The sequence below is a fragment of the Homo sapiens genome, chromosome 22, assembly GCF_000001405.40.
Source record: "Homo sapiens chromosome 22, GRCh38.p14 Primary Assembly".
Taxonomy (NCBI): Eukaryota; Metazoa; Chordata; class Mammalia; order Primates; family Hominidae; genus Homo; species Homo sapiens.
Window position 1 is genome coordinate 29,452,721 of NC_000022.11, and position 25,443 is coordinate 29,478,163.

At 51.6% G+C, this 25,443-nt stretch overlaps 1 long non-coding RNA gene across 1 annotated transcript, besides 4 other annotated features; it reads right to left on the reverse strand.

Annotated features, from left to right (window-relative positions):
* Positions 1 to 1,063: 1,063 nt before the first annotated feature.
* On the reverse strand, positions 1,064 to 25,406 carry LOC107985541 (uncharacterized). The gene is made up of 4 exons (XR_001755482.2): positions 25,290 to 25,406; positions 15,413 to 19,729; positions 2,072 to 4,086; positions 1,064 to 1,956 (listed from the first exon to the last, which is right to left on the reverse strand). It is a non-coding gene; the product is annotated as an uncharacterized LOC107985541 (long non-coding RNA).
* Positions 7,303 to 7,854: an enhancer, noted in NCBI's record as "H3K27ac-H3K4me1 hESC enhancer chr22:29856012-29856563 (GRCh37/hg19 assembly coordinates)". NCBI's record gives its function as "activates a minimal SCP1, AML or CMV promoter by ChIP-STARR-seq in primed H9 embryonic stem cells {active_cell/tissue: H9 hESC(primed)}" and the evidence as "EXISTENCE:reporter gene assay evidence [ECO:0000049][PMID:30033119]".
* Positions 10,632 to 11,159: an enhancer, noted in NCBI's record as "H3K4me1 hESC enhancer chr22:29859341-29859868 (GRCh37/hg19 assembly coordinates)". NCBI's record gives its function as "activates a minimal SCP1, AML or CMV promoter by ChIP-STARR-seq in naive and primed H9 embryonic stem cells {active_cell/tissue: H9 hESC(naive and primed)}" and the evidence as "EXISTENCE:reporter gene assay evidence [ECO:0000049][PMID:30033119]".
* Positions 11,160 to 11,687: an enhancer, noted in NCBI's record as "H3K4me1 hESC enhancer chr22:29859869-29860396 (GRCh37/hg19 assembly coordinates)". NCBI's record gives its function as "activates a minimal SCP1, AML or CMV promoter by ChIP-STARR-seq in primed H9 embryonic stem cells {active_cell/tissue: H9 hESC(primed)}" and the evidence as "EXISTENCE:reporter gene assay evidence [ECO:0000049][PMID:30033119]".
* Positions 17,424 to 17,924: an enhancer, noted in NCBI's record as "H3K4me1 hESC enhancer chr22:29866133-29866633 (GRCh37/hg19 assembly coordinates)". NCBI's record gives its function as "activates a minimal SCP1, AML or CMV promoter by ChIP-STARR-seq in primed H9 embryonic stem cells {active_cell/tissue: H9 hESC(primed)}" and the evidence as "EXISTENCE:reporter gene assay evidence [ECO:0000049][PMID:30033119]".

Genomic DNA, 25,443 nt, shown 5'->3' on the forward strand with positions numbered 1-25,443 from the left:
CTGCCCACCTTGGCCTCCCAAAGCGCTGGGATTACAGGTGCGTGCCACCACACCTGGCCCCCAGCAGTATTACTTATAAGCCTCTAGTGCATACTGGGCCCTCCTGGGACAATCTTCTTATTCCCAACAACAGCTCACACTCATGCACACTTCTGAGCCTTTTTCTAGGCTGGACACCTGGCCTGGAAGGTCTCTCTGCCGCTCCCCACCGCACCTCACCCCCACCAGCCTATGAGCTTCCCCATCTGGGAAGCCTGCCCTGCTTTGAAGCCAAGAACACTGTGGAAGGAGTTTCTCCCAGCCCTAAGGATGGGTCTAAGAAAGGAGGTGCCTAGGAGAGGTCCCCACAGGCAGGAGGCCTGCAGCACCCCAGACTCAGCTGGGCTCCTGCTAACCATTTCAGAAATACAGATTTTTAGAAAAAGTTTGTTTTTCCTCTTAACTATAAAAGTGACACATGCTTGTGGTTTAAAAAAAAAAAAAAAAAAAAGCCAAGCGCGATGGCTCACACCTGTAATACCAGCACTTTGGGAGGCTGAGGTGAGTGGATCACGAGGTCAGGAGATTGAGACCATCCTGGCCAACATGGTGAAACCCCATCTCTACTAAAAGTACAAAAAATTAGCCGGGTGTAGTGGCGGGCGCCTGTAGTCCCAGCTACTCAGGAGGCTGAGGCAGGAGAATCACTTGAACCCAGGAGGTGGAGGTTGCAGTGAGCCGAGATTGTGCCACTGCACTCCAGCCTAGCGATGGAGTGAGACTCCATCTCAAAAAATAATAATAAAAAAAGGTTGAGGCCGGGCTCAGTGGCTCACACTTGTAATCCTAGCACTTTGGGAGGTCGAGGTGGGTGGATCACCTGAGGTCAGGAGTTTGAGACCAGCCTGGCCAACATGGTGAAACCCCATCTCTACTAAAAACACAAAAAATTAGCTGGGTATGGTGAGATGCATCTGTAATCCCAGCTACTCAGGAGGCTGAGGCAGGAGAATTGCTTAAACCCAGGAGGTGGAGGCTGCAGTGAGCTGAGATTGCACCACTGCACTCCAGCCTGGGCAACACAGCAAAAACTCCGTCTCAAAAACAAACAACAAAAAAGGTTGAAACAGAACAAAACCCCTCTGCTCTCATCTCGCAGAGGTCATCCCTGAGTCAGGGTGGCAGTCCCTCCCCGGGGGGCAGAGGAGAGTGCCTATGGTTGAGGCTGGGGACTCTGCAACTGGGGGTACCAGTATTAAATCAACACCTGCTGATCCCATGGGCCTTGGACAGGTTTCTTGGCTTTTTGGGGGCCACTGTCAAGTGGCGAGTATAAAAGCACCTCCCCACAGCAAATTAAAATCTGGCATGTGCACATACAGTGCTTGGCGCAGGGCTCACATGAGAAACCTGCTTTCTGGGTGGTGGCTGGTGTTCTTGGTAAATCTTACATCCTCCCATAGCAGCCAGAAAAGTCCTGGGCAGTCTGAGATCCATAAAGCCTGCTCGATTGCACAGGTAATACTCAAAGTGACAGTAACAAAATGTAGCCAAGTCCTGTGTTTGGCACCCTCCCCATGGTCTGTGTGCTAGGTGTGCCGGGGTCCTGGCCCAGAGAGTACACTCTCTCCCCTGCCCCTCACCCACCCTTGTGCCCCAAGCCTGTCCCTCAGAGGCTTCCCTGACCCTGGAGCAGGCCCACAGCAGGCGCGGTGCTGCAGGCAGTGTCCTCCCAAGTGCTGCGAGAGGCTTTTTCTCTGTAACCTTCCCAAGCTCCCGGCGGCTGTAAGTCTTCTCCTGGCAGGGACTGCAGAGGCTCAGCCTGGTGCTTGGGCAGGCTGCCTCTCTTGTCCTCCTTCTGGCTCTGCAGAATGCAGCTCCTCTCCAAGGCCAGGGCAGGATGCCCAGGGCCAGGCGACTGCAGCATTCTTGTCCTCATCCTTCAAGGCCAGCCCGAGGACTGAGTCCCTTCCCCATCTGAAATCAAGGGTCTTGGGTCTGAATCTTTCCTAAGATTCTGATGAGAATCATAGTCACTATTTCTAAAGAATGCTCACATACACACAACACACAATTTTGCATAAAACTTTACCAGCTACTTCTCCCACCAAGTTTGTCATGAATCAGCCAGGTAAAGAATTTCCACATTTCAGGAGCTACTGCTATTTGCAAAAGCAAACTGCAAAACAGAATGTATAGTGTTAATCTTTTAAAAATATAAATTTTAACATATAAATGCATAGAAAAATCTGAAAAAATCTGTGTAAGTGGCTCTAATGCTTATCTGTAGACAGTGGCTTTCAAGAGCTTTCATTGTATACCTCAGGCATTTTTGTATATGAATTTTTTTATTTTTGAGACAAGGTATTGTTCTGTCACCCAGGCTGGAGCACAGTGGTGTGATCACAGTTCACTGCAGCCTCACCCTTCTGTGCTCAAGCAATCCTCCCACCTCAGCCTCCCAAGGAGCTGAGACTACAAGTGCACAATGACATGCCAGCTAATTTTGTTCTTTTTTTTAGAGATGGGGTCTCACTGTGTTGCCCAGGCTAATCTGGAACTCCTAGGCTCAAGCGATCCTCCCACCTCGGCTTCCCAGAGTGCTGGGATTACAGGCAAGAGCCACTGTACCCGGCCTTAATATAGTTTTTTTTAACATGCGTTTAACTTTTAGGAATTTCTTTCCCATTTAAAATAGAATCCTATAATGTTATCACCAACTATCTCAAATTCTCCAGGCCACTGATCCTTCTGTTGAGCAAATAGAGTCGACCATCACCCCAGAATAGTAATGAGGACTCCAGCTTCTGAAGTTCAATCTACAATTGATCAATCTGACATTTACATTTACCACTGGGTTCCTCTGGGAAAGGTATTAACCTATCTAGGCCTCCGATTAGCCTTCAACGTGGATTAGTTGCAGCTCCTAAACTTCAAAGGGTTTCTTACTTCGGTAAAAATAAAAAAAAAAGATCAATGTGTTTTGTTAATTTTTTTTTTTTTTTGAGATGGCGTCTCACGGTGTTGCCCAGGCTGGAGTGCAGTGGTGCGATCTCGGCTCACTGCAACCTCCACCTCCCGGGTTCACGCCATTCTCCTGCCTCAGCCTCCTGAGTAGCTGGGACTACAGGTGCCCACCACCATGCCCGACTAATTTTTTGTATTTTTAGTAGAGAAGGGGTTTCACCATGTTAGCCAGGATGGGCTCAATCTCCTGACCTCGTGATCCACTCGCCTCGGCCTCCCAAAGTGCTGGGATTACAGGCGTGAGCCACCGCGCCCAGCCTTGTTTTTTTAATTTTTAAAGAAAAGACTCGAGTAAGTCAGGCTCTCAGGGACCCTGCCTGAGTCCCCAGTGGAAATGGTTCGTCTTAGGGCTGCATCATTTGCCCCAGCCAACTTCTTACCAACTGGAGGGTCTCAAGGTGGGCCCCCAGAAGGTCCTGCAGGGCTGGGAGCCCAGAGGACAAATATGGCTAATGGAATCCAGCCTGGACTCTTACATCTGGCACCAGTTCAGCAAGTGAGGATATAAAAAACCAGACATCACCTCATCGCTGTCTCATCAAAAAAGGAGACTTTCTCGCTGCACATTCCTGCAGAGGACAAATTCCTGCTCATGTATTGCTTGGGAGGGAGCAAGAAGAGCAGAGTAGGGAATCTGAGGAGTTCTCCCCTTCTTGGGAATGGGAGAGCAGCCCAGGTCATCACAGCAGCCCTGAGACTGGCCTCTTGGTAACCATGACAACCTCAGCTCCCAGGCACTGTGTGGACATCTGACATGCGGAGACCCTCCTCCACTCCTTCCTACAACTCTGAAGAAGAACCTGGTTCTGCGAGGTGAGGGGGCTTGTCTGAGGTCACTGAGCTGCGGTTGGAACTTGCCCCTGTCTGACGAACTCCCACGCCGATGCTCTCAGCTTCCCAGGAGCCAAGAGGCCTGTGGTCTAAGCGCAGCTCTTCTCAAACTGTGTGAGTGAGCTTGGGCAGGTCTAAGACCCCTCCTGAGTGCTTCAGTATCCCTCTCAGGATGTCCAGAGGAAAACTCCAGGCTGCCCCACCTCTTCCTCCAGGATAGTCTGTCATCAGTTTACACGTTGGGCTTTCCTGGAAAATTTAGAACACAGGGCCTGACAGTGTCAGAAAGATAACTAAAATGAACAAACACAACCCTCACAGTTGCGTTAAGACCAGACAGTCTCTAAAAGCTACAATAGGCGTGGTGGCTCACGCCTATAATCTCAGCACTTTGGGAGGCCGAGGCGTGTGGATCACGAGGTCAGGAGTTCAAGACCAGCCTGGCCAAGATAGTGAAACCCCATCTCTACTAAAAATACAAAAATTAGCTGGGAGTGGTGGCAGGCGCCTGTAGTCCCAGCTACTCGGGAAGCTGAGGCAAAGAACTGCTTGAACCTGGGAGGCAGAGGTTGCAGTGAGCTGAGATCGCACCACGGCACTCCAGCCTGGGTGACAGAGCAAGACTGTCTCACACACACACACACAAAAGCAACAATAGGAAGGTCCCCACAGTTCCAGATCCCCAATGTGCTCTCTCTAGAAACTGATGGCCCCATTGGATCCCCTGGCCCTGCCTGCTCAGCCCACCTGCCTCAGGGTCCTCATGGCTTCTCCTCCTCTGATCCCACCCTGAAGGATATGGGGTCCCCTCATGCCCCTCACCCTGTAGGCTTCTCAGGACTCCTCAGCAGGGCTCCCCAAGGACAATGTAAACAGCAAAACTAGGCTAAGATGTTGGACTCAAGGGAGTGGAGCCTTTGGTGTTTCAGGAGAATCTATAAATCCAGATTTTTATGCTAAATCGCCCAGTCATTTCATGTTGACAACTATAACCCTCATTTGCCATATGATGTTTTTTCTTTTTTTTTTAAGAGACAGGGTCTTGCTCTGTCACCCAGGCTGGAGTGCGGTGGTGCGATCATAGCTCACTGAAGCTTCGAATTCTGGGCTTAAGCCATTCTCCACCTCAGCCTCCTAGTAGCTGGGATTACAGGTGTGTGCCACCATGCCTGGCTAATTTTTTAAAATTTTTTGTAGAGATGAGGGTCTTGTTATATTGCCCAGGCTGGTCTCAAACTCCTGGCCTCAAGTCATCTTCCCGCCTTGGCCTCCCAAAGTGCTGGGATTTCAGGCATGAGCCACCATGCCCTGCCTGCTGTATGATTTCACATCCATTTGCTGTCCCTCCTCTGCTCACCATCTGGAAAGGTGGGGGAACTAACCCTTCAAACTACATTTCCCAAGCTCCTTTGCAAACCGGCGTTGATTAGGTCCAGCCAATGGGAGGCACTGAAGGGAGACTGGCAGATAGAAGAGGCCCGGGTTTTTCCAGCCTTTGGGCAGTGGCTGGGTCTTCTCCAAACTTACAATTCCCTCCAGATAGACCTCTGTGGTCCCAGGCCATGGGTTTGGGTAACCCACCTCTGTCCAGCCTCCTGTTTGGCTTTCCAAAATTTCCCCCATTGGACCCCCTAAAGTGGGTTCTGTTTTTCTGACTGATAGGGCAACTAACTCAAATCCTCTTTTTTTTTTTCCATATTTAAAATGGCTGTGTAAGGCCGGGCATGGTGGCTCACGCCTGTAATCCCAGCACTTTGGGAGGCCGACGCCTGTGGATCACTTGAGGTCAGGAGTTCGAGACCAGCCTGGCCAACATGGCGAAACCTCATCTCTACTAAAAATACAAAAATTAGCCGGGTGTGGTGGTGCATGCCTGTGATCCCAGCTACTTGGGAGGCTAAGGCAGGAGAATTACTTGAACCCGGGAGGCAGAGGTTGCCATGAGCCAAGATCACACCACTGCATGCCAGCCTGGGCTTACAGAGCAAGACCCTGTCTCAAAAAAAAAAAAAAAAAAAAAAAAAAAAGATGGGCAAGGAAAAGAAAAAAAATCTATACACAAAACTGCCCATTTTTACCATTTTAAGTGTACAGGCCAGTGGTATTAATTATATTCAAAATATTGCACAATCATTACTACTATTTCCAAATCAAATCCCTTTAATGTCCTCTGTGGTTCTGCAGGCCTGTGGATGCCTGCTTGCCACCTCTGATTTGCAGATGGCAAAGATCCCCAGCCAGGTGCAGTAGCTCATGCCTGTAATCCCAGTAATCCCTACAGTTTAAGAGGCTGAAGCAGGAGGATCACTTGAGGCCAGGAGTTCAAGGCAAAGATTCTCTCATGCATTCTCTCCCCAGAGCATCCCAAATCCCATGAAGTTAATGGGGAGAGGGATGATCACCCTAATTTCATAGAGGAGGGAACTGGATTCAGGCAGACCCAGGGCTCCTATGTAAGAGGGGAACCCCAAAGGCCTGGTTCCTAGCCCTGTGCTCTGTCTGTGCCCCACCCAGCCTCCTGGTAGCCTCCTCCCCACCCTCCAAACCTGTGCACATATTCACTGCTGCCCTGCCCTCCACCAAAGCTACCCTGGGCAACAGGGTGGAGGTGGGAGTCCTGGTTTCCTATTGGACATCATAAGACTGGACACCAATAAGAGTAACAACAACAGGGCTGGGCGTGGTGGCTCACGCCTGTAATCCCAGCACTTTGGGAGGCCAAGGTGGGCGGATCACCTGAGGTTGGGAGATCAAGACCATCCTGGCTAACACGGTGAAACGCTGTCTCTATGCAAAATACAAAAAAATAGCTGGGCGTGGTGGCACATGCCTGTAATCCCAGCTACTCAGGAGGCTGAGGCAGGAGAATTGCTTGAACCTGGGAGGCAGAAGTTGCGGTGAGACGAGATTGTGCCACTGCACCTTAACCTGGGCAACAAGAGCGAAACTCTGTCTCAAGAAAAAAAAAAAAAAAGAGTAACAACAACAATCCCCCAAATATTTATGCACACAGGGGAAGGGACTGGGTCAGAGCCCTGAGCACAGGCCCCAAGGGTCTTGTGTCTCTGCTTTTCAGGGGTCACAGGGAAGTCTAGGGTGGTGGAAAAGCCCGGAGCCTCCCTAACTATAACACTCCAGTCACCACTTCTGGAGCGCTTACTGCATTCTCCAAGCAATTCCAGGTACTGTCTCTTAATCTTCAGAGAAAAGAGGCTGCTCGGGGAGCTATTATGCCCACTCGGTTCCCAGCAGAAAGGGGTGGAGCCAGCATCCCTGCCCTGCCCTGCCGTGATGTGCCCTGTGTGCCCCGCCTGCCCAGTGCCTCCTCACTCTGGCCCCTGCCTTTGCTGGGCTTGTTTCCCCACACTGGGCCCGTTCTGTGAGGAATAATGAAAGCAAGTGTCAGACTGCCTGAAGGGAGGCCCCCTCAGCCCAAAGCAGCCCTTCACCATTGTAGCCCTGCCGGGCTGTGGGCCTGAGCCCAGCCTCTGCTGCAGCCTGGGGAGCAGATCCAGGCAGGCAGCTCCGTTGAGGAGGCACAGCAACAGCCGGAGGGGACCTGGGACAGGGAGGGGACCCCAGATGGGGAGATGGAGGCCTCTGGTGGCCCGATATCTTTGCCAGGACATGGTGGACCCTGTCCCAAGCCCTGAGCAGCCCCAGGTGAGATGGGCATCCCACAGGCCTGGGTTTAAACCTGGTTCTAAATAACACATGCTGGGTTTGTCTGGGAACACACACACTGCTGAGAAGGACACCTGAGAATCAGATCACCCCGGCTGCTTCCCTAGGAGGATTTGGGTGGCTGGGGACAGAAGAGAAGGGAGATTTTTCACTGTCTACCCTTCGCGCCTTCAGACTTTTGAGCCATTAATAAATAATTCAAAAAATTTAAGCCCTGGTTTGGTAAACCCTTCTAGGAGCTTGTTCTGAAATGGAGGCCATTCCAACAAATGCCAGCTCTGTCACCACTAGCTCTGTGAGTTGCGAAAATCATGTCACCTCTCTGTGCCTCAGTTTCCTCCTCTGTGAAACAGATACTAGAACTTGTCCACTATTCACAAGGTTACGAACGATCAAGATTTGGTCATCTGACCAGGCATGGTGGCTCATGCCTGTAATCCTAGCACTTTCGGAGGCTGAGGCAGACAGATCACTTGAGGTCAGGAGTTCGAGACCAGCCTGGCCAACATGGCAAAACCCTGTCTCTACTAAAAATATAAAAAATTAGCTGGGCATGCTGGCACACATCTATGATCCCACCTACTCAGGAGGCTGAGGTGGGGGGATTGCTTGAACCCAGGAGGCAGAGGTTGCAGTGAGCCAAGATCATGCCACTCCAGCCCGGGGAAACAGAGCAAGACTCCATTAAAAAAAAAAAAAAAAAAAAAGGCCGGGCATGGTGGCTCACGCCTGTAATCCCACCACTTTGGGAGGCTGAGGCGGGTGGATCACCTGAGTTTGGGAGTTTGAGACCAGCCTGACCAACATGGAGAAACCTTGTCTCTACTAAAAATACAAAATTAGCCAGCTGTGGTGGCGCATGCCTGTAATCCCAGCTACTCGGGAGGCTGAGGTGGGAGAATCACTTGAACCCCGGGAGGCGGTGGTTGTGGTGAGCTGAGATTGTGCCATTGCGCTCCAGCCTGGGCAACAAGAGCAAAACTCTATCTCAAAAAAAAAAAAAAAAGATTTGGCCCTTCAAAATTCCCCAGTGATCTCCTCTGTACCACAAATGGTGCCAGGCACAGTGGGTGTCAAGGTGAGGACGAGGGGCTTACAGTCTGGTAGAGGAGGTAAACACATGAACAGATGCTTGCAACAAGATGGATGAGTGCCGGACAGGGGAAACTGAGAGAGGCCAGTGGAGGAGCCTAATTCAGCCTGGGACAGGAAGGGCATCAAGGAAGGCTTCCTGGAGGAGGTGATGCCACAGCTGAGTCTTATTTTTTTATTTTTCAAGACAGGGTTTCACTGTCGCTGCCCAGGCTGGAGTACACTGGTGCAATCTCGGCTCACTACAGCCTGACCTCCCAGGCTCAAGTAATCCTCCTGCCTCACCCTCCTGAGTAGCTGGGACTACAGACGCTGACCACCACACCTGGCTAATTTTTGTACTTTTTGTAGAGACAGGGTTTCAATCATGTTGCCCGGGCTGGTCTTGAACTCCTGACCTCAAGTGATCCTCCCACCTCAGGCTCCTAAAATGCTGAGATTACAGGTATGAGCCACTGCACCCAGCCATACAGCTGAGTCTAGAAGGCTATCAGTTTGTTGTTCAATCAGAGGAGAAAGGGAGTCAGGAAAGGGGGCGGTGCGGTGAGCAGCAAGAGCGAAGGCCAGAGCGGGGATGCAATGCTGCTTCCAGATGAGCAGGAAGCAGGCTGGTGCTGAGGGCAGTGCGAAGCTGAGAAAAGGCGTTTGCCATGGACTTGAAAGGATGGCCCGGCTTCAGACCCTGATTCTACCATTTATCAGCTGTGTTACCTTGAGCAAAAATGATGTGACCAGTGCTTACCCTGTAGGGTTGTCGTGAGGATAAAAGCAAGTTAATGCATGTAAGGTGCTTAGAACGGTCCTCTGCAGACCCAGGTGCAGAGTGGCCATCAGGAAGATGCTGGCTAGGCCAGGTGCGGTGGCTCACACCTGTAATCCTAGCACTTTGGGAGCCCGAGGTAGGTGGTTCACCTAAGGTCAGGAGTTCAAGACCAGCCTGGCCAACATGGTGAAACCCCATCTCTACTAAAAATACAAAATTAGCCGGGCATGGTGGCGTGCACCTGTAGTCCCAGCTACTTGGGAGGCTGAGGCAGGAGAATCGCTTGAACCCAGGAGGCAGAGGTTACAGTGAGCTGAGACCCAGCCTGGGTGACAAGAGTGAAACTCCGTCTCAAAAGAAAAAAAAAAAAAGAAGAAGAAGATGATGCTGACTAAATATGTCTGAGTGGATGCACACATGAGCAAACAGGCCACCAAGCTCTCGACAGTTCCACGCCCTCCTTGCAGACACCCAGTGTTGGGGACCACTGTGGCCTCCCCACTTCCTGCTCATGGATCAGACAGATGACCTGGAGGCACAGTGATGACCGCCACCCCCACCCCCACGCTGGCCACAAAATGCCCACCCACAGCCCATGCTCCCACTGTCTGCAGTGGCCTGGACTTGGCAGCCCCTGGGAACCAGGCTTGAGGATGCTGAGCCAGGCCTTGAAGGGAAAAGAGACCCATATTTATTGTCACCCGCTCAAGCTGTGTCTAGCACAGGGATCCACCTGCAATAGCTCAGGTCCGACTCTCCCTATTTTATGGATGGGGCTCAGGGAGGCAAGAGAGTGGCCTGGAAAAAGCCAGCGGTCCTGCCCAAGGCTGTGGGGCTCCAAAGATGGGTGTCTCCAGTACCCATCACCCACCCAGGCCTAGTTCTTTCTTGCTCACCTGGCCTGGTTGCTGGGGTCTCCATTTAGACACATGGAAGGCCCAGTTCCAGGCCAGACATGGTGGTTCACACCTGTAATCCCAGCACTTTGGGAGGCTGAGGTGGGCGGATTACTTGAGGTGAGGAGTTCAAGACCAGCCTGGCCAACATGGCGAAAGCCCCTCTCTACTAAAAATACAAAAATCAGCCAGGCATGGTAGTACACGCCTGTAATCCCAGCTACTTGGGAGGCTGAGGCAGGAGAATCTCTTGAACCCAGGAGGCGGAGGTTGTAGTGAACAAAGATTGTGCCACTGCACTCCAGCCTACGCAACAAAGCAAGACGCCATCTCAAAAAAAAAAAAAAAAAAAAGGAGACTCAGTTCCAAGGCAAAAGACTTGGGAGGCGGTGGGGCCATGTGAAGGAAACTCAGAAGCATGGGTATCAGTGAGGATACCTTCAAGATCATTCAATGTGCAAACAGCAAACCTGAGGCCCAGAGAGGTTCCATAAGCCACTTTAGGCCATCCAGCCCACCCATGGCAGGGCTGGGATGGAACTTTGTCCTTCTTCTCAAGGCACAACCTGCCCTGATGTCCCAGGTGCCTGGTGGTTGGGGACTGGGGGTGTGGTGGGGTGGGGCTGCAGGCTGTGGCCTGAGGCAACCTGTCTGCAAACCAGGACCCAGAAAAGAACAGGCCAGGAGTGGTTTGCAAGCAGTTTTGCTGGAGAGAGCCCAGAGGGAGCCATAAATCAGGCACTGCGGCTACTGGTCAGGAGCAGGGACTAGCATCCAGCAGGGATGCCTGCCCCCCATCTGGGCCCTTCGCCCACCACAGTGACAGGGATGCTGCAGAGGCTGTGGAGGCCCAGGCCAGGTCCCCAGCCCTGCTGCGGCTCTGCAGGTGGAGGAATGCGGGAGGAGATTCTGAGTTGGGCTCAACTGGCTCTCGCCGCAGAGAGAGTAGAACGCCCAGAAAGGCTGGCTGGGGGTGGCCTGTTGACCTTACCCTGCAGCCAGGTGGAAGGAGAGGACAGGACAGGAGGGAGGCTTCAGTCTCGGGCTGGCCAGAGGGTCATGCCTTCTGCAGCTGGGCCTGAAGAAATGGGGGCAGGAAAGGGGCTCGAGGCTCACTGAGGAGCCTACAGCTTCTTTGGGTGCGTGGGCTGGGTCTGAAAAGGGAGCATCCAGGCTCCACCCTGGAAGTTGGTTGATGCTCTGGGGCAGGGACAGAGACAGGAAAGCTAGCCCTGACATGATTCACCATGCGACAAGTTAGCCAAGGGGAGGGGGGGAGGGGACAAAAGGCACCTGATGGCTGATGATATTGATAGCCATAGTGACGACAATGGTTCCTGTGTATTTACTAGAGATGCTATGCCAGCCACTGTGAGCCTCAGCACGACCCTAGCAGGGAGGTACCATTTATTCCCCTTTTTACAGATGAGGTAACTGAGGGCCAGAGTGATGAAATGATGGCCTGCACAGCCAGCAGTGCTCCCATCAGCCCTGGCAAACCCTTGCGTGTCCCTTTTCTGGGGCTCTGAGCTCCAGGCAGGCTGGGGCACAGGCTCTTGCGGTCCCTCCTCCATCTCCTGCATGGTGCCTTGCTCACAAAACACACTCGGTATGCAACCATGAGCGGATGTGTGAAGTCAGCCCCTCTGGGTGCAGACGGAGAGAACATCCAATCCCCCCACTGCCCTTCTCTACAACTGGCCATGTAACTATATCTAGCAAAGCCCATGGTCTGATCTGAGCAGCACAGTGTCCAAAGAGGTGGCCAAGGCCTGGAAAACCGCCCCCACCCATTTCACAGATGAGAAAACTGAGGCTCAGGGAGGTTATGTAGCTTGCTTGGGGCCCCTAGCCAGCTAGTAGGGGCCCAGGCCCCTTCCCCTTCTCCCGGAACCTATCAGCCCTCTCTGGAGGAGGGCTGGAAGAGCTGCCAGGAGTAAATAACACCAGTGACAGCCAACATTTAGGGAGCGTGGAACATCTCGTCTGAACCTCTTGGTTTTTTAATAACAGCCTTATTGAGAGATAATTCACATCCCATACAACTCAACCATTTAAAGCAACAATGCCATGTTTATGGAGTTGTGCAACCATCACAATCAATTTTAGAACATTTTTATCACCCCAGGCCAGGCACAGTGGCTCACACCTGTAATCCTGGCACTTTGGGAGGCTGAAACAGGCCGATTACTTGAGGTCAGGAGTTCGAGACCAGCCTGGCCAACATGGTGAAACTCTTGTCTCTACTAAAAATACAAAATTAGACAGGCATGGTGGCATGAGCCTGTAGTTCCAGCTACTTGGGAGGCTGAGGCAGGAGAATTGCTGCAACCTGGGAGGCGGAGGCTGCAGTGAGCCAAGATTGCAACACTGCACTCCAGCCTGTGTGACAGAGTGAGCTCTGTCTCAAAAGAAAAAAAAAAAAGAAAAAGAAAAAGAAAAAAAGAATATTTTCATCATCCCAAAAAGAAACCTCATACTCTTTAGCTATCACTCTCCAAGTCCCTTATCCTCTCAGGTTTAGGTAGCCACTAATCTATTTTCTGTCTCTATAGATTTGCCTATTCTAGACATTTCATATAAATAAAGTCATATAATAGCCAACAACCTTTTGAATGTGGTATGATTATCACCCATTTCCCAGATGGAAGTAATGAAGCTTAGACAGATGAAACCCTTACCTAGGGGTCCTTAATGAAGCAATGTCAAAAAGGATTCAAACCGAGGCCTTCCTGGCCCCAAGGGCCTGCTCTTTGTCACCAGTTAAGAGAGCCTTGGAGCAAAGGGGCAGCTCTCCCCGACCCTCCTTCTCTCCTCCCCGAGCCCAGGGCCCCATCCCCACATTCCTCCATCACCCCTAGAGGTTCTACCAGAAACACTTCGGGACCAGGGAACCCATCCAGTTATTTCCCCACTCTTGCTCTCAATCCTTCAGGCTGCAGCTATGCCACCTCCTTTGGGAGGCTCTCCCTGGCTGCTCACCTTTCTTGGTACCCCCGCTGCTCATATGTATTTGTCCATAGAAGATCAGGCAGCCTGGCCTCCTGTGTGTGTGGGTGGGAACCTAAGGCCCTCGGTAAGGTGTCTGAGGTTGGCCAGTGAGGCCAGGCAGAGCCCTGGGGCCCAGGGCCAGATCTCTGACTTCCTCACCAGTGTTCTTCCTCTGGCCTGTTTCAAACGGGAAATGCTCCAGCTCCAACAAAGTAAAGGGAGCACTGTGCTGTGAGCCTGGGTGCCCGGGTGGTGTCCTGGCTCCATGGGAGCCGAAACACAGCCACATCCCCTTTGAGGAGGCTCCACCAGGCCCGCATCTCCTCCATCCTCACCCCATTCTGTCAAGTGGTCCCATCAAGGAGAGGGGGGTAAACTGAGGCTCAGCAAGGCTAGTGGCCTACCCAAGGCCACAGGCACTGAGCCAGGACTCCCCTGCTGACTCCCAGCTTGCCCCCCACCACATGCTGGGTCAGGAGCCCCAGTTTGAAGCTCTAACAACCCCTGGACTTGCCCCCTCTATCAGTTCTTACAAAATTGGCCCCAAACTTGCTGGGGAGCTGGGAGCCTGTCTTCTTCATGGCTGTATTCCCAGTGCAGGGTGGGGCCTGAAACACATCTTAGGAAATGTCTGTTGAATGGATGAGACAGAAGGAGGGAAGGCCCAGGTGCAGTGGCTCACACCTGTAATCTCAGCACTTTGAGAGGCCAAGGTGGGAGAACTGTTCGAGCCCAGGAGTTCGAGACCAGCCAGGCAACATGGTGAGATGGGGTGTCTCTACCAAAAAATAATAATAAAAAAATAACAAAATTAGCCAGGCATAGTGGTGTGCACCTGTTGTCCCAGCTACTCGGGAAGCTGAGGATGAAGTGGGTGGATCGCTTGAGCCCAGGAGGTCAAGGCTGCAGTGAGTTGAGATTGCACCACTGCACTCCAGCCTGGGCGACACAGCAAGTCTCTGTCTCTAAAATGAACGAACAAATGAACAAATGAAAGAAAGAAAGGAAGGAAGGAAGGAAGGAAGAAGAAGGGTGGAAGAAAGGGAGAAATGGGGATGGGATCTAGTGAGCAGGTCTTCTGACTCCTAAATCAAGAACTCTTTTGACATTTTTGGGTCTTATGCCTCTGGAGAATCACCCACACAATCCTGCACAGTTTTGGGGGTTCCTGATCCCTTGTACAGGTCTGCAGTAGTCGAATCCCTATACTGCTCGTTGAGAACCCTGTATCCTATGCCACTCAACCCTGTCCTGAGGACACAACTGATGCAAATGCACTTCATAAAAGCCCAAAGCACGGCACACACTTCAGTTAACTCACCTGGAACCACAAGGATGCGCTGAGCCATAGTCCCCGGCACACACTGCAGGACTCCTAACACCATTCCTCTGCCTCCCTATTCTCAGCGGCCGCTGCCCCTCCCCAGGAGCTGCTGCCAGCTAGGGACATGCTAGAATGCCCATTAATGCCACTTTAGGCCAGAAGCTGGTGTTGGCAACCTCAGAGGTGGGGGCTGCCTGAGTCCTAACTCTGGATCCTCCACTGACTCAGCAGGATCCTGCCTCTCCTCCCCTAAAATCATCTTAGGGCATAGAGGATGGGTGGGGTCCAAGGCTTAGGAACTCCCCCAGTGCCCAGACTGGTGCTGCCCAGACTGGTGCTGCAGACACAACTAGTAACAGTTGTGTTTACTGAGAATTTTCTAGGCCAAAAAAATGGTGTTAGATTTTTCCCCCCATGTTTACTCACCAATTCCCAGATGAAGCTGGTACCATTAGCATCCTTTTGTTTTGTTTGTTTTTGTTTTGAGAGGGAGTCTTGCTCTGTTGCCCAGGCTGGAGTGCAGTGGAGCAATCTCGGCTCACTGCAACCTCTGCCTCCCGGGTTCAAGCGATTCTCCTGCCTCAGCCTCCCTAGTAGTTGGGACTACAGGTGCCTGCCAACACACCTGGCTAATTTTTGTATTTTTAGTAGACATGGGGTTTTACCATGTTGGCCAGGCTGGTCTTTAACTCCTGACCTCAGGTGATCTGCCTGCCTCGGCCTCCCAAAGTGCTGGGATTAGCCACCGTGCCCAGCCAGCATTCCATCTTATACGGGGGAAACTGAGATACAGAAAGGAAAGGTCACTTGCCTGAGATGCCTTACCGAGAAGTGGAAGTGTTGGCGTTCAGCTGTGGGTCCGTCTGACCTTGGAGGTGACTTCTGAACTATTAGGGGACTAAGCCTCCCCAAGCAGTTACTGCTGATTGCTCAAAGGCAGCTGCTCCCCTTCACACAGAGGGTCTATCCTTGGAAACTTGTGCCAGGGACATTCTGAGTAAGGTAGCAGATTTACGTTCATTAGACTTTCTCAGAGGATGCAGTTTGCTGAACCTCAGGTTGTCTCTTCATCTGCAGTCATAAAATATTCAAGCCAGAAGGCACTCTGGTGATTGGAAATGCTAATCTCTGTAATTTTTTTTTCTTTTTTTTTGAGACAGGGTCTCACTCTGTTGCCAAGGCTGTGGCGTGATCATGGATCACTGCAGTCTCAACCTCCTGGGCTCAGGTGATCCTTCTGCCTCCACCTCCCGGATAGCTAGATAGCTGGAACCACAGGTACATGTCACCATGCCTAGCCAGTTTTTTGTATTTTTCGTAGAGACAGGGTTTTGCCATGTTGCCCAGGCTGGTCTCAAACTCCTGGGATCAAGTGATCCTCCCACCTCAGCCACCCAAAGTGTTAGGATTACAGGTGTGAGTCACCGTGCCCAGCCCATTTTCTTTTTAGAGACGGGGCCTCGCTCTGTTGCCCAGGATAGAGCGCAGTGGCATGATTATAGCTCACTGCAGCCTCAAACTCCTGGGCTCAAGTGAGTATCCCACCTCAGCTCTCCAAGTAGCTGGGACTTCAAGCATGAGCCACTGCACCTGGCTAATTTGAACTTTTTAATTTTTTTTTATTGTAGAGACAGGGTCTTGTTTTGTTGCCCAGGCTGGACTCAAACTCCTGGCTTCAAGCAATCCTCCTTCCTCCTCAGCCTCCCAAAGTTCTGGGATTACAGACATGAGCCAACATGCCTGGTCTAGTCTTACCTTTTACTAATGCGGAAACTGAAGCCCAGAGATGCAGAGATGTGCCTAAATTACAGTTAATTAGGAACAAATGTAATCCTCAAATCCAGATCTCCAACATTCATGTCAAAACTCCCTAAAATCAAACAACATCGGCTGGGGAAAGAACATTCAAAGTCTCCCAGTCCAAGCCTCTCATTTCACAGTAGGAGAAAGCTTGACTCAGAGAAGAGTGGAATATGCCTAAGAGTGACATGCAGGCAGGCAGAATGCACCATCAATGAATCGAAAAGTTAGTTTTTTACTATATGTGCCCTAAGGCATATAAAGTGACTTCTCCGAGCTTCACCTTTGAAATGGAAATAAAATTTACAGTATAGGGTTCACTGTCAGGAGGATAAATGATTCATGAAATGCCCTTGGGCCAGCACCCAGCACTTAGTGGGTGCTCAATGCATGGTATCTATTATTAATACTGCTAGAACCTTGTCATTTCCCCCTCTGCCATTCTGCCTTCCAGGTCAAACCTTTCTCAGTACAGTATAGTAGGTAAGACTGGGGACTACTGCTTCAGCTACTTGTCAGCAGGGTGACTTTGGACTGGTTACTACCCAGCAACTCTGGGCCTCAAATGTCTCATCAGTAAACTGGGGACAGAATAGCAGTACCCACCAGACAAGGCTGTGGGAGGGGGAAATAATGCATGTGACTGGCCTTCACACAAAGCCAAGCACATAGTCAGTGCTCAATAAATGCGGGCTACTACTGTTACCAATTACTTCCACAGCCATGTCTCATGTCTGTCACCATCCCAGACTGCAGGGAGTCTGGTCCACCAGCAAGTGGCCGGTCCCCAACCTCCAGGGCTCTCCAGTCTCAAGAGTGCTGACGCAGCAAGGGAAGGAGCTCCCAGTACATCCACACCGGCTCTCCTGACTCAGCTCTGATTTCTCAGGTGCCTGTGTAGGGTCGACAATTCTGAGCATGCTGGACGAAATCCCGATTTTTGCATTCATGTAAGAGTCTTGGAAGAGCCCCCTTTTCACACGTGCAGAAACTGAGGTCTGGGGAGGAGGAAGAGGCTGCTGCCCACGGACACACAGGTGCCAGGACCAATGTCTGGGGAGGAGGAGAAGGGCGCTGTTCACGGAAACACAGGCGCCAGGGCTTGATGCACCGGTGTCCTCGCTTGTGGCTGGGTCCTTCTGGGACGATCCCCTTTCCCAGGATCCCGCCCCTAGGAAGAGCACCGGCCATGCCCCTACCTGAGCCCCACCCCCTGAGTTCTTTGAGCACCGCTGCCCCCAGGCCGTTACGATGAGGGAAGCCACGACAGCCAAGGCTACGGCTACCTTCCTGCAGCCCCTGGGGATGCCACTGATGCGACGCCGCGGCGGCCAAGGCGGGGCTGAAGGCGGCGCGCCCGGCTTCCCTGAGCCAGTTTGGAGGAGCGCTCTTCAATCTTCCGAGGCCGGATGAAGCATTCGGGCGTTCCCACTGCGGAAGGGCGGGGATGGCTGTGACGCAGGCGTGCCCGCCGTCGCCTGCAGGGGGCGCTGTTGCTGGCGCGATTCTATCAAGCGCAGAGCCAGCCGAGGCAGTATGCCGAGGCAGAGAAACCGGTTCTGCAGTCCCAGGGCCTCGGTTTCCCCCTCTGGAGAGTGTTCGTTTGTGACAGGGTCTCGCTCTGTTGCCGAGGCTGGAGTGCCGTGGCGTGATCTCGGCTCACTGCAACCTCCGCCTCTCCAGGTTTAAGCGATCCTCCCACCTCAGCCTCCCGAGGAGCTGGGACCACAGGCGCGCCACCACACCCAGCTATTTTTATTTTATTTTATTTTTTGTAGAAATGAGGTTTTTCTGTGTTGCCTGGGCTGGTCTCGAGCTCTTGGGCTCAAGCGATCCTCTCGCTTGGCCGCCCAAAGTGCTGGGATTAGAGGTGTGAGCCACTGCACCGCCGAAAGTGGGTTTGATGACAATGTTGTGAGGCTACAGTGGAACCCAGATAAATTTATGAAAGGAACCAGAAGACACTGATAAATAACCAAATTACTTAACCTCCCTACACCTGTTTGTTGATCTGTAAATGGGGATAATTGCACCTCCCTTCCCTGTGGATATGCAAACGTGGAAAAACACATAAAGGGGCTGGCACCTTATAAGCACCTAGTAAAAGGCAATGACTGTGATCACAGGCAAAGCACCCTGCCAAGCCAGAAAACAACATCCAAGTCCTGGTTCCTGTCCTCACGGAGCTCCAGTCGCAGAACCAGAGGCGAGGCAGTGAGAACCAGGCCTGCCCTCGGTTTCCTCATCTGTACCACTGATGGTCTCTAAGGCTCTCTGAGCCCAGCTTTCTTCAATGCTGGCTTGTGAAATGCAGCCCAAGATGGATTACAGTGACATGAATAACATGGAGTAGCATCTATGGGAAGTCACCGCTGAATCGCATTTATTCATTCAACAAGCTTTACTAATACTCTGGTACCAGGCCCTAGGAATACAACATTAAATAAGAGATGGCTCTTGCCCTTACAAAGCTCCCAACAGTCCAGTCAGGAGAGAAATAAATAGCCCTTCAAATACCGTGTTGGGATTAGAACGAGCAACTGTGGGAGCCTAAAGAAAGCAGTTATCACAACCTTGGGGTTAGCAAAGCTCCTGAGGGAGCAGGTAACCTGGAACGTCTCAAGGATTAAGAGGAGTGAGCTGAAGAGTCGGAGAGTGAATACTGGGGCAGAGAAAGGATTTCAGACAGAAAGCCAGGGTGCAAGAGAATGTGGCAGAATGAATAATTTCATGGCGGTGGACCCAGAGAGTAGAAGAGGTTCAGGTAGGGAAGGACACAACTGCCCCCTCTGCCCAGCCCCTGCCCCCTCCTAAGCTGCCACCAGGGAACATTCTGTGTCCTTCTGCCTGGGCCTCAAATGTCCCCCCATTTGTTCACCCACTGTACACACCCTGAGCCCCCCAGGTGCAAGAGCCACTCTCTGTCCCCTCAGCTCATGGTCTAGGAGGAGTCAGAAGGCATGGGCACCAGGGACTCCAGTATATGTCATCCCCTGGATCCCAGGACATGTACTTAGATATGGGCAGGGCACACGGCTCCACAGAGAAAGGACATGGAGGATGAGGGAGAAAGGAATTCCCAGGAGAGGGCCAGTCCTGAGGTGGGACGGGGTGGCATTCTAGAGCCAGACTGCAAAGTTTTGAATCCTGGTTCTGTGCTTGGCAAATGATTTCACCTCTTCAGGCCTGTTTACTCACCAAAGCTTCTTAGAGTTGTGGAGCCTAGGGCCGGGCGTGGTAGCTCACGCCTGTAATCCCAACACTTTGGGAGGCTGAGGCGGGTGGATCACGAGGTCAGGAGATCGAGACATTCCTGGTTAACACGGTGAAACCCCATCTCTACTAAAAATACAAAAAAAAAAAAAATTAGCTGGGCATGGTGGCACGTGCCTGTAGTTCTAGCTACTCGGAAGGCTGAGGCAGGAGAATCTCTTGAACCCGGGAGGCAGAGGTTGCAGTGAGCCGAGATCGCGCCACTGCACTCCAGCAAGACTCCATCTCAAAATACTAGATAGATAGATAGATACACAGATAGATAGATAGATAGATAGATAGATAGATAGATAGATAGATAGATAGATAAAGAGTTGTGGAGCTTAAATGAGATCATGTTTGTAAAAGTCTATGTGAAAGACTCTGTGGGAGCTCGAACGATGAGCCTGGAAGGTTGGCTGAGGCCAGATCCAGAGTCAGTTCTCCTGCTCTAGGGACACTGGCTCAGAATGCACATCCCCAGGCTCCATCAGAGATTCTGACTTGGATGATCTGGACGAGCCCAGGAATTTGCAATGAAATTCTGTGGTGACCACCACACAAGCAAAACGTTTAATAAAAAGTATATTTTCTCCACTAACTCCCCCTAACAGACAGCAAAGACCTCAAGCCCTGCTTCCTCTTTCCTCTGCCACTTAACCTCCCCAAATGCCAGAAGGTAGTTCAGGCGCCCAGCAGAGCTGTCCCTGCTGTGTGTGGCCAGGTCCCTGGTTCAGGTTCACTCTGGGCTCCTGCAGTTTTCCATGCACACGGAGTGCCTCGCTCGGGGCTGAGGCAGAGGTTTCAGAAACTTTCTTGGCATGTCTCTCTCATGCTGGCATCTGCTGTCTTTGGCAGTGCCAGGCTGCACCCGAGTCCTCCATGTCCCCACACAGCTGCAGAGAGACAAGCCAGGGTGCAGCTGCCCCTGGGCAGGGGAAGCTTCATGTCCACCAAGCCTGGGGCCATGCCCACTTGCAGGGGCTTTTCTTCTTTTCTTTTTTTTTTTTTTTAAGAGACAGGGTCTCACTCTGTCACCTAGACTGGAGTGCAGTGGCACAATTATAGCTCACAGAAGCCTTGAACTCCTGGGCTCAATGATCCTCCCAGCTCAGCCTCCCAGGTAGCTGGATCTACAGATGCACACAACCACACCCAGCTAATTTTTAAATTGTTTTGTAGAAACAGGGTCTCACTTTGTTGCCCACACTGGTCTCAAACTCCTAGGCTCAAGCGATCCTCCCACCCTGGCCTCCCAATGTGCTGGGATTATAGGCGTGAGCCACCGTGCCCAGCCTGGGGGGCCTCTTTTAGGGCTCAGTAATGCCAACATTGGCCATCAGGAATGAACTTTTATCCAACTGTTAATTCTCCCTCAAGTCCCAACATCCCGTTTTTTTTTGTTTTGTTTTTCAAGACAGAGTCTTGCTCTGTCACCCAGGCTGGAGTGCAATGGCGTGATCTCGGCTCACTGCAACCTCCGCCTCCTGGGTTCAAGTGATTCTCCTGCCTCAGCCTCCTGAGTAGCTGGGATTACAGGCACGCACCACCACACCCGGCTAATTTTTGTATTTTTAGTAGAGACAGGGTTTCACTATGTTGGCCAGGCATCTTGAACTCCTGACCTCAGGTGATCCGCATGCCTTGGCCTCCCAAAGTGCTGGAATTACAGGTGTGAGCCACTGCACTCGGCCCCCAACATTCCAATTTAAACTCTGGCATGAATCTTTCTCTCAAATGTACTATGGGCTCCCTCCTTCTCCCCCAGAATAAAGAGATGAAACAGCACTGAAACCTTTTCTTATTTTTTTCCTGAGAGTCAGTATGGATAGTGGGAGGTGCAAGGGTCCTGGACAAAGCCTAGATGTGAGCCACAGCCCCTCCACCACCTCACTCTGTGGCCTTGGCAGGTCACTTTCTCAGTGTCGATGTTCTACTCTGTAGAGGACAGTGACCTTGCACAGCTGACAGAGTTGTTGCAGACACCACGTATGTACGTGGAGCACAGCAGGCAGGTGCCCACCACGTAAAGGATGACAAAGCTGTTTTCTCCATTACTCAAGATTTAAACTGTGAGCCCAGGTGCAGTGGCTCACGTTAGTAATCCCAGCACTTTGGGAGGTCGAGGCGAGTGGATCACTTGAGGCCAGGAGTTCAAGACCAGACCAGGCTGGCCAACATGGCGAAACCCCACCTCTACTAAAAGTGCAAAAATTAGCCAGGCATGTGGTACATACCTGTAATTCCAGCTACTCGGGAGGCTGAGGCACAAGAATCACTTGAACCTGGGAGGCAGAGGTTGCAGTGAGCTGAGATTGTGCCACTGCACTCCAGCCTGGGCGACAGAGCAAGACTTTGAAAAAAAAAAAAAAGATGTACACTGTGAACATCAATCACTGTCCAATGACTTCTTTCTACTTATCTATCTCTTCAGTCAGGATCATCCAGAAAGCTGAGCTAGTCATCATTTTAACTTCCTGACTATACTGCTTGGGAAGCCTCCTTCCCTCAAGACAACCAGAGAGAGTATAAAAACCTGGGGGAAAAGAAACAAATTTTGATTGAGCCAATTTTCAATCCCCCTTGCTTCCACCAAGGCACCAGAAGGAAGCCCTAGAGCAAAGACCCTGGCCAGCTGTGATGGAATCAGGAAAGTGCTGGGTCCAGTTGGGCCTGCCTTGAATGCGAGATGTACAGTCTTGTAGTTCAGTATTCCTCCTGCAGAGCCCATCAGACCTGAGTTCAAATCCCAGCTCCACCACTTATCAGATGTATAACCTGGGGCACGTTATTCAACCTGAGCCATCATTTTTTAAAAAACTTATTTATTATTATTATTGAGATGGAGTCTTGCTATGTTGCCCAGCCTGGTCTCAAGCTCCTGGGCTCAAGTGATCCTCCCACCTTGGCCTTCCAAAGTGCTGGGATTACAGGCATAAGCTACCATGACCAGCCTCTCTTCATTTCTCAAACCATGACATGGGGATAGTAATGGTATCTATTTCATAGGATTGCAAGAATAAGAGAGGCCAGGCATCTCCTCCTTTCCTTAGATGACAGCCTTCATTCCCATTGCTACTTAGCCTCTTGCTCTAGGTAAGAAGAGTAATGACAGCCCTGGGGCACTTGTAACTTGGCAAGCCCCAGTTACTAGATGAAAGTCCAATAAACCATCTCACTCTCCATCTTGGGAACCACAGCCCAAGAATCATTCATCCATAATCTCCCACAGCAGGAACTAGAGCAGGGGAGATAGGGTGGACCTGTGACCCCATCCACCAGTTCCTGGCCTTTGGGGTAGAATCCAGCTTCCCACCTGGTGCAGTCCCAGGGCGGCAGATGGGCGGGCAGGCAGGCAGGCAGACCTGCTGCAGGCCTGAGTCTGCGGTGGCTGGTCCCTGGGGGTTAAGGCTGTGGGTGGAAGCTAGGAGGGGGAGGCTTATGCAAAACTGCACACAGTTTAGTTTTTTGCTGTCTGTGTCCTAAACGGAGTAGACATGGGGAGACTGCCGCCCTTTTATTATAAATCAGATTCAAACGCGGCAAAAAGACGGCATCTCTAAGGAGGGAGAGGAGAAAAAAGGAGGGAGAGGAAGGAAAAGGGGAGGAATAAAGAGGACAGAGAAATTGGGGGGAAAGAGGGAGGGATATAATAGAGGGAGAAGGAAGGGAATGCAGTGGAGAGAGGGGCAAGAGGAGAGACGGAGAATGTGGGACATGACGGACATTCACGGGGAAAGGAAGCAAGAAGAAAGGCTCAGCACTTCCTAAAAGGAATTGCTGAACATAAAAAGGAACAGGCTGTGCAGGAGCAGGGTGAGTCTGCAGACAACAAAGCCAGCAAGGTTGAGCCTCAGCAAAGGGGACTACACAGCTCGGGCTGGGAGGCTTCAGGCCCCAGGATGGGGGCCACACTTTCAAGACCTCCTTCTCCAGTCAACCTGCGGGCAGCCTCCCTAGGGCCTGGAACTGTCCAGATGCCCAGTGCTAAAATGTCTGGGTGATCACGGGCCTCTCAGGCAGAGCCTCGCAGTCATCCTGAAACTATTTGCTACGCACCCACTATATGCCAGACAATATTCCGAGCACTGGAGATGTCAGCAGTGAATAAAACAAACAAAAATCCCTGTCCTGATGAAGTTCTATTTAGTGGAGAAGATGCATAGTAGCATGTCAGAAAACGTCAAGTCCTATGGAGAAAAAACAAGCAGGAAAAGAGAACGAGGAATTTAGCATCTGCACCTCAAACAGTGGTCACATGTAGCTCCCACAGAGGTGACACAGTGTCAGAGGGTACCCAGGCCGGGAAGTAGGTTCTCACATACAGGCTATGCTGATGTTGGGTCATGGGCCACAGAGACTCACAGATGGGTGATCTGTCAGAGGCCAGACCCCAACCCCAGCCCCAGAAAGCTGCCCATCCCCTCTCTGAAGGCCTCTCAATCCTCTACCCTCAGACCATCTAGGCCTCTACTATGCAAGAGAAACAAGTTTCCACCCTGTGTCCTGTGCCAGCTCAGGTCTGGATGAGTTGAGACACTGGGCTCTGCTGTGTCACTGAGTCAACTCAGGCAACCCACTTCCTCACTCGGGTCTCAGTCTACTTGCCTATAAAATAGGGACAATGATCCCTGCCGAGTGAACAGTGAGTAGCAGCGAGGCTGGTGGCTGTTTAAGCGCCTACTGCTTTATCCTTCACCCTGCAAGTATGTTCCTGAAGAGCACCAGCCTTGGGGTCCACAAAAGCCCAGGGACAGCAGGGGCTGAGACCCAAATCTCAGTGTGCCTTTCAGTGTGAGCCACTGGACCCTTGTCCTGGAGACACTTGGGGACAAGAAGGGCCCAAGAGCAGTTAAGTTTGGGAAACTCAGCACACTCTACTTGCCTCTGGGAGATTCACAATGCTCACTGCCAAGTCCAGGCTTTGGGAAGATAACTCCAAGAACTGCGGGTGGATGGATGGATGGATGGATAGATAGATGAATATATCGTTCTACTCACTTCCAAATGGTAAGAATCACAGGGAGGAAAGTGAAAGCGATTCGAGCCCCAAGGACTCAGGGCAGAACCATTCACAGCCCCTCCAGACCACAAGTTTGGCTGGAAAACAGACGGAACTTATTCATTCATTGATTCATTTACACACCACAGAGTGGTAAGAGCAGCATTAGAGATTAGCACTGGGAACCATGGGAACCACCAGGAGGGGACAATTAACTAAATGTGGGGGTGAAGGCGGCCAGGGATGGCTTTCTGGAGGTGAGCCTGAAGGGTCCTTTGGGGGAACTGACCTCAGGGCTCCAGCCCTCATGCCATTTTCTCCAGCCACAAGAGTCATGCTTGGGGCTTCTTGGACTACATAGGCAGCTTCAATCTGATGGCTGTGGCCCCTTGGCCTCAACAGAATACATCTTGGAGCCCCCTTTTTACCCCAAACCCCCATTCCTCCTTGCTGTCAGCTGCTTGTGAGCCTTCTCACATCCAGAGAATGTATCAGCATTGTGCAGACTGAAAAGACCCAGAGGAACAAGGCTCCAATGGCAAAATTCCAAGTAGAATGACAAATAAATGGGGAGCCATCTGAGAGCAAGGGAGTCCTGCCCAACACCCGCCCCATGCCTTTCTCAGGGACCTCAGACCAGCCACTCACCTCCATCCTCCCAGCACCACCTGCAACCAGCCCCTTGCCCTCTGCAAACTGGAGCACGACTGGATCTTTAGATGGGGGAAAAATGCTTCATCATGTTCTGCTGCTTCATGCAAAACCAGAAACTCCCTCCCCCTCTTCCCTCCTCCCAGCGCAC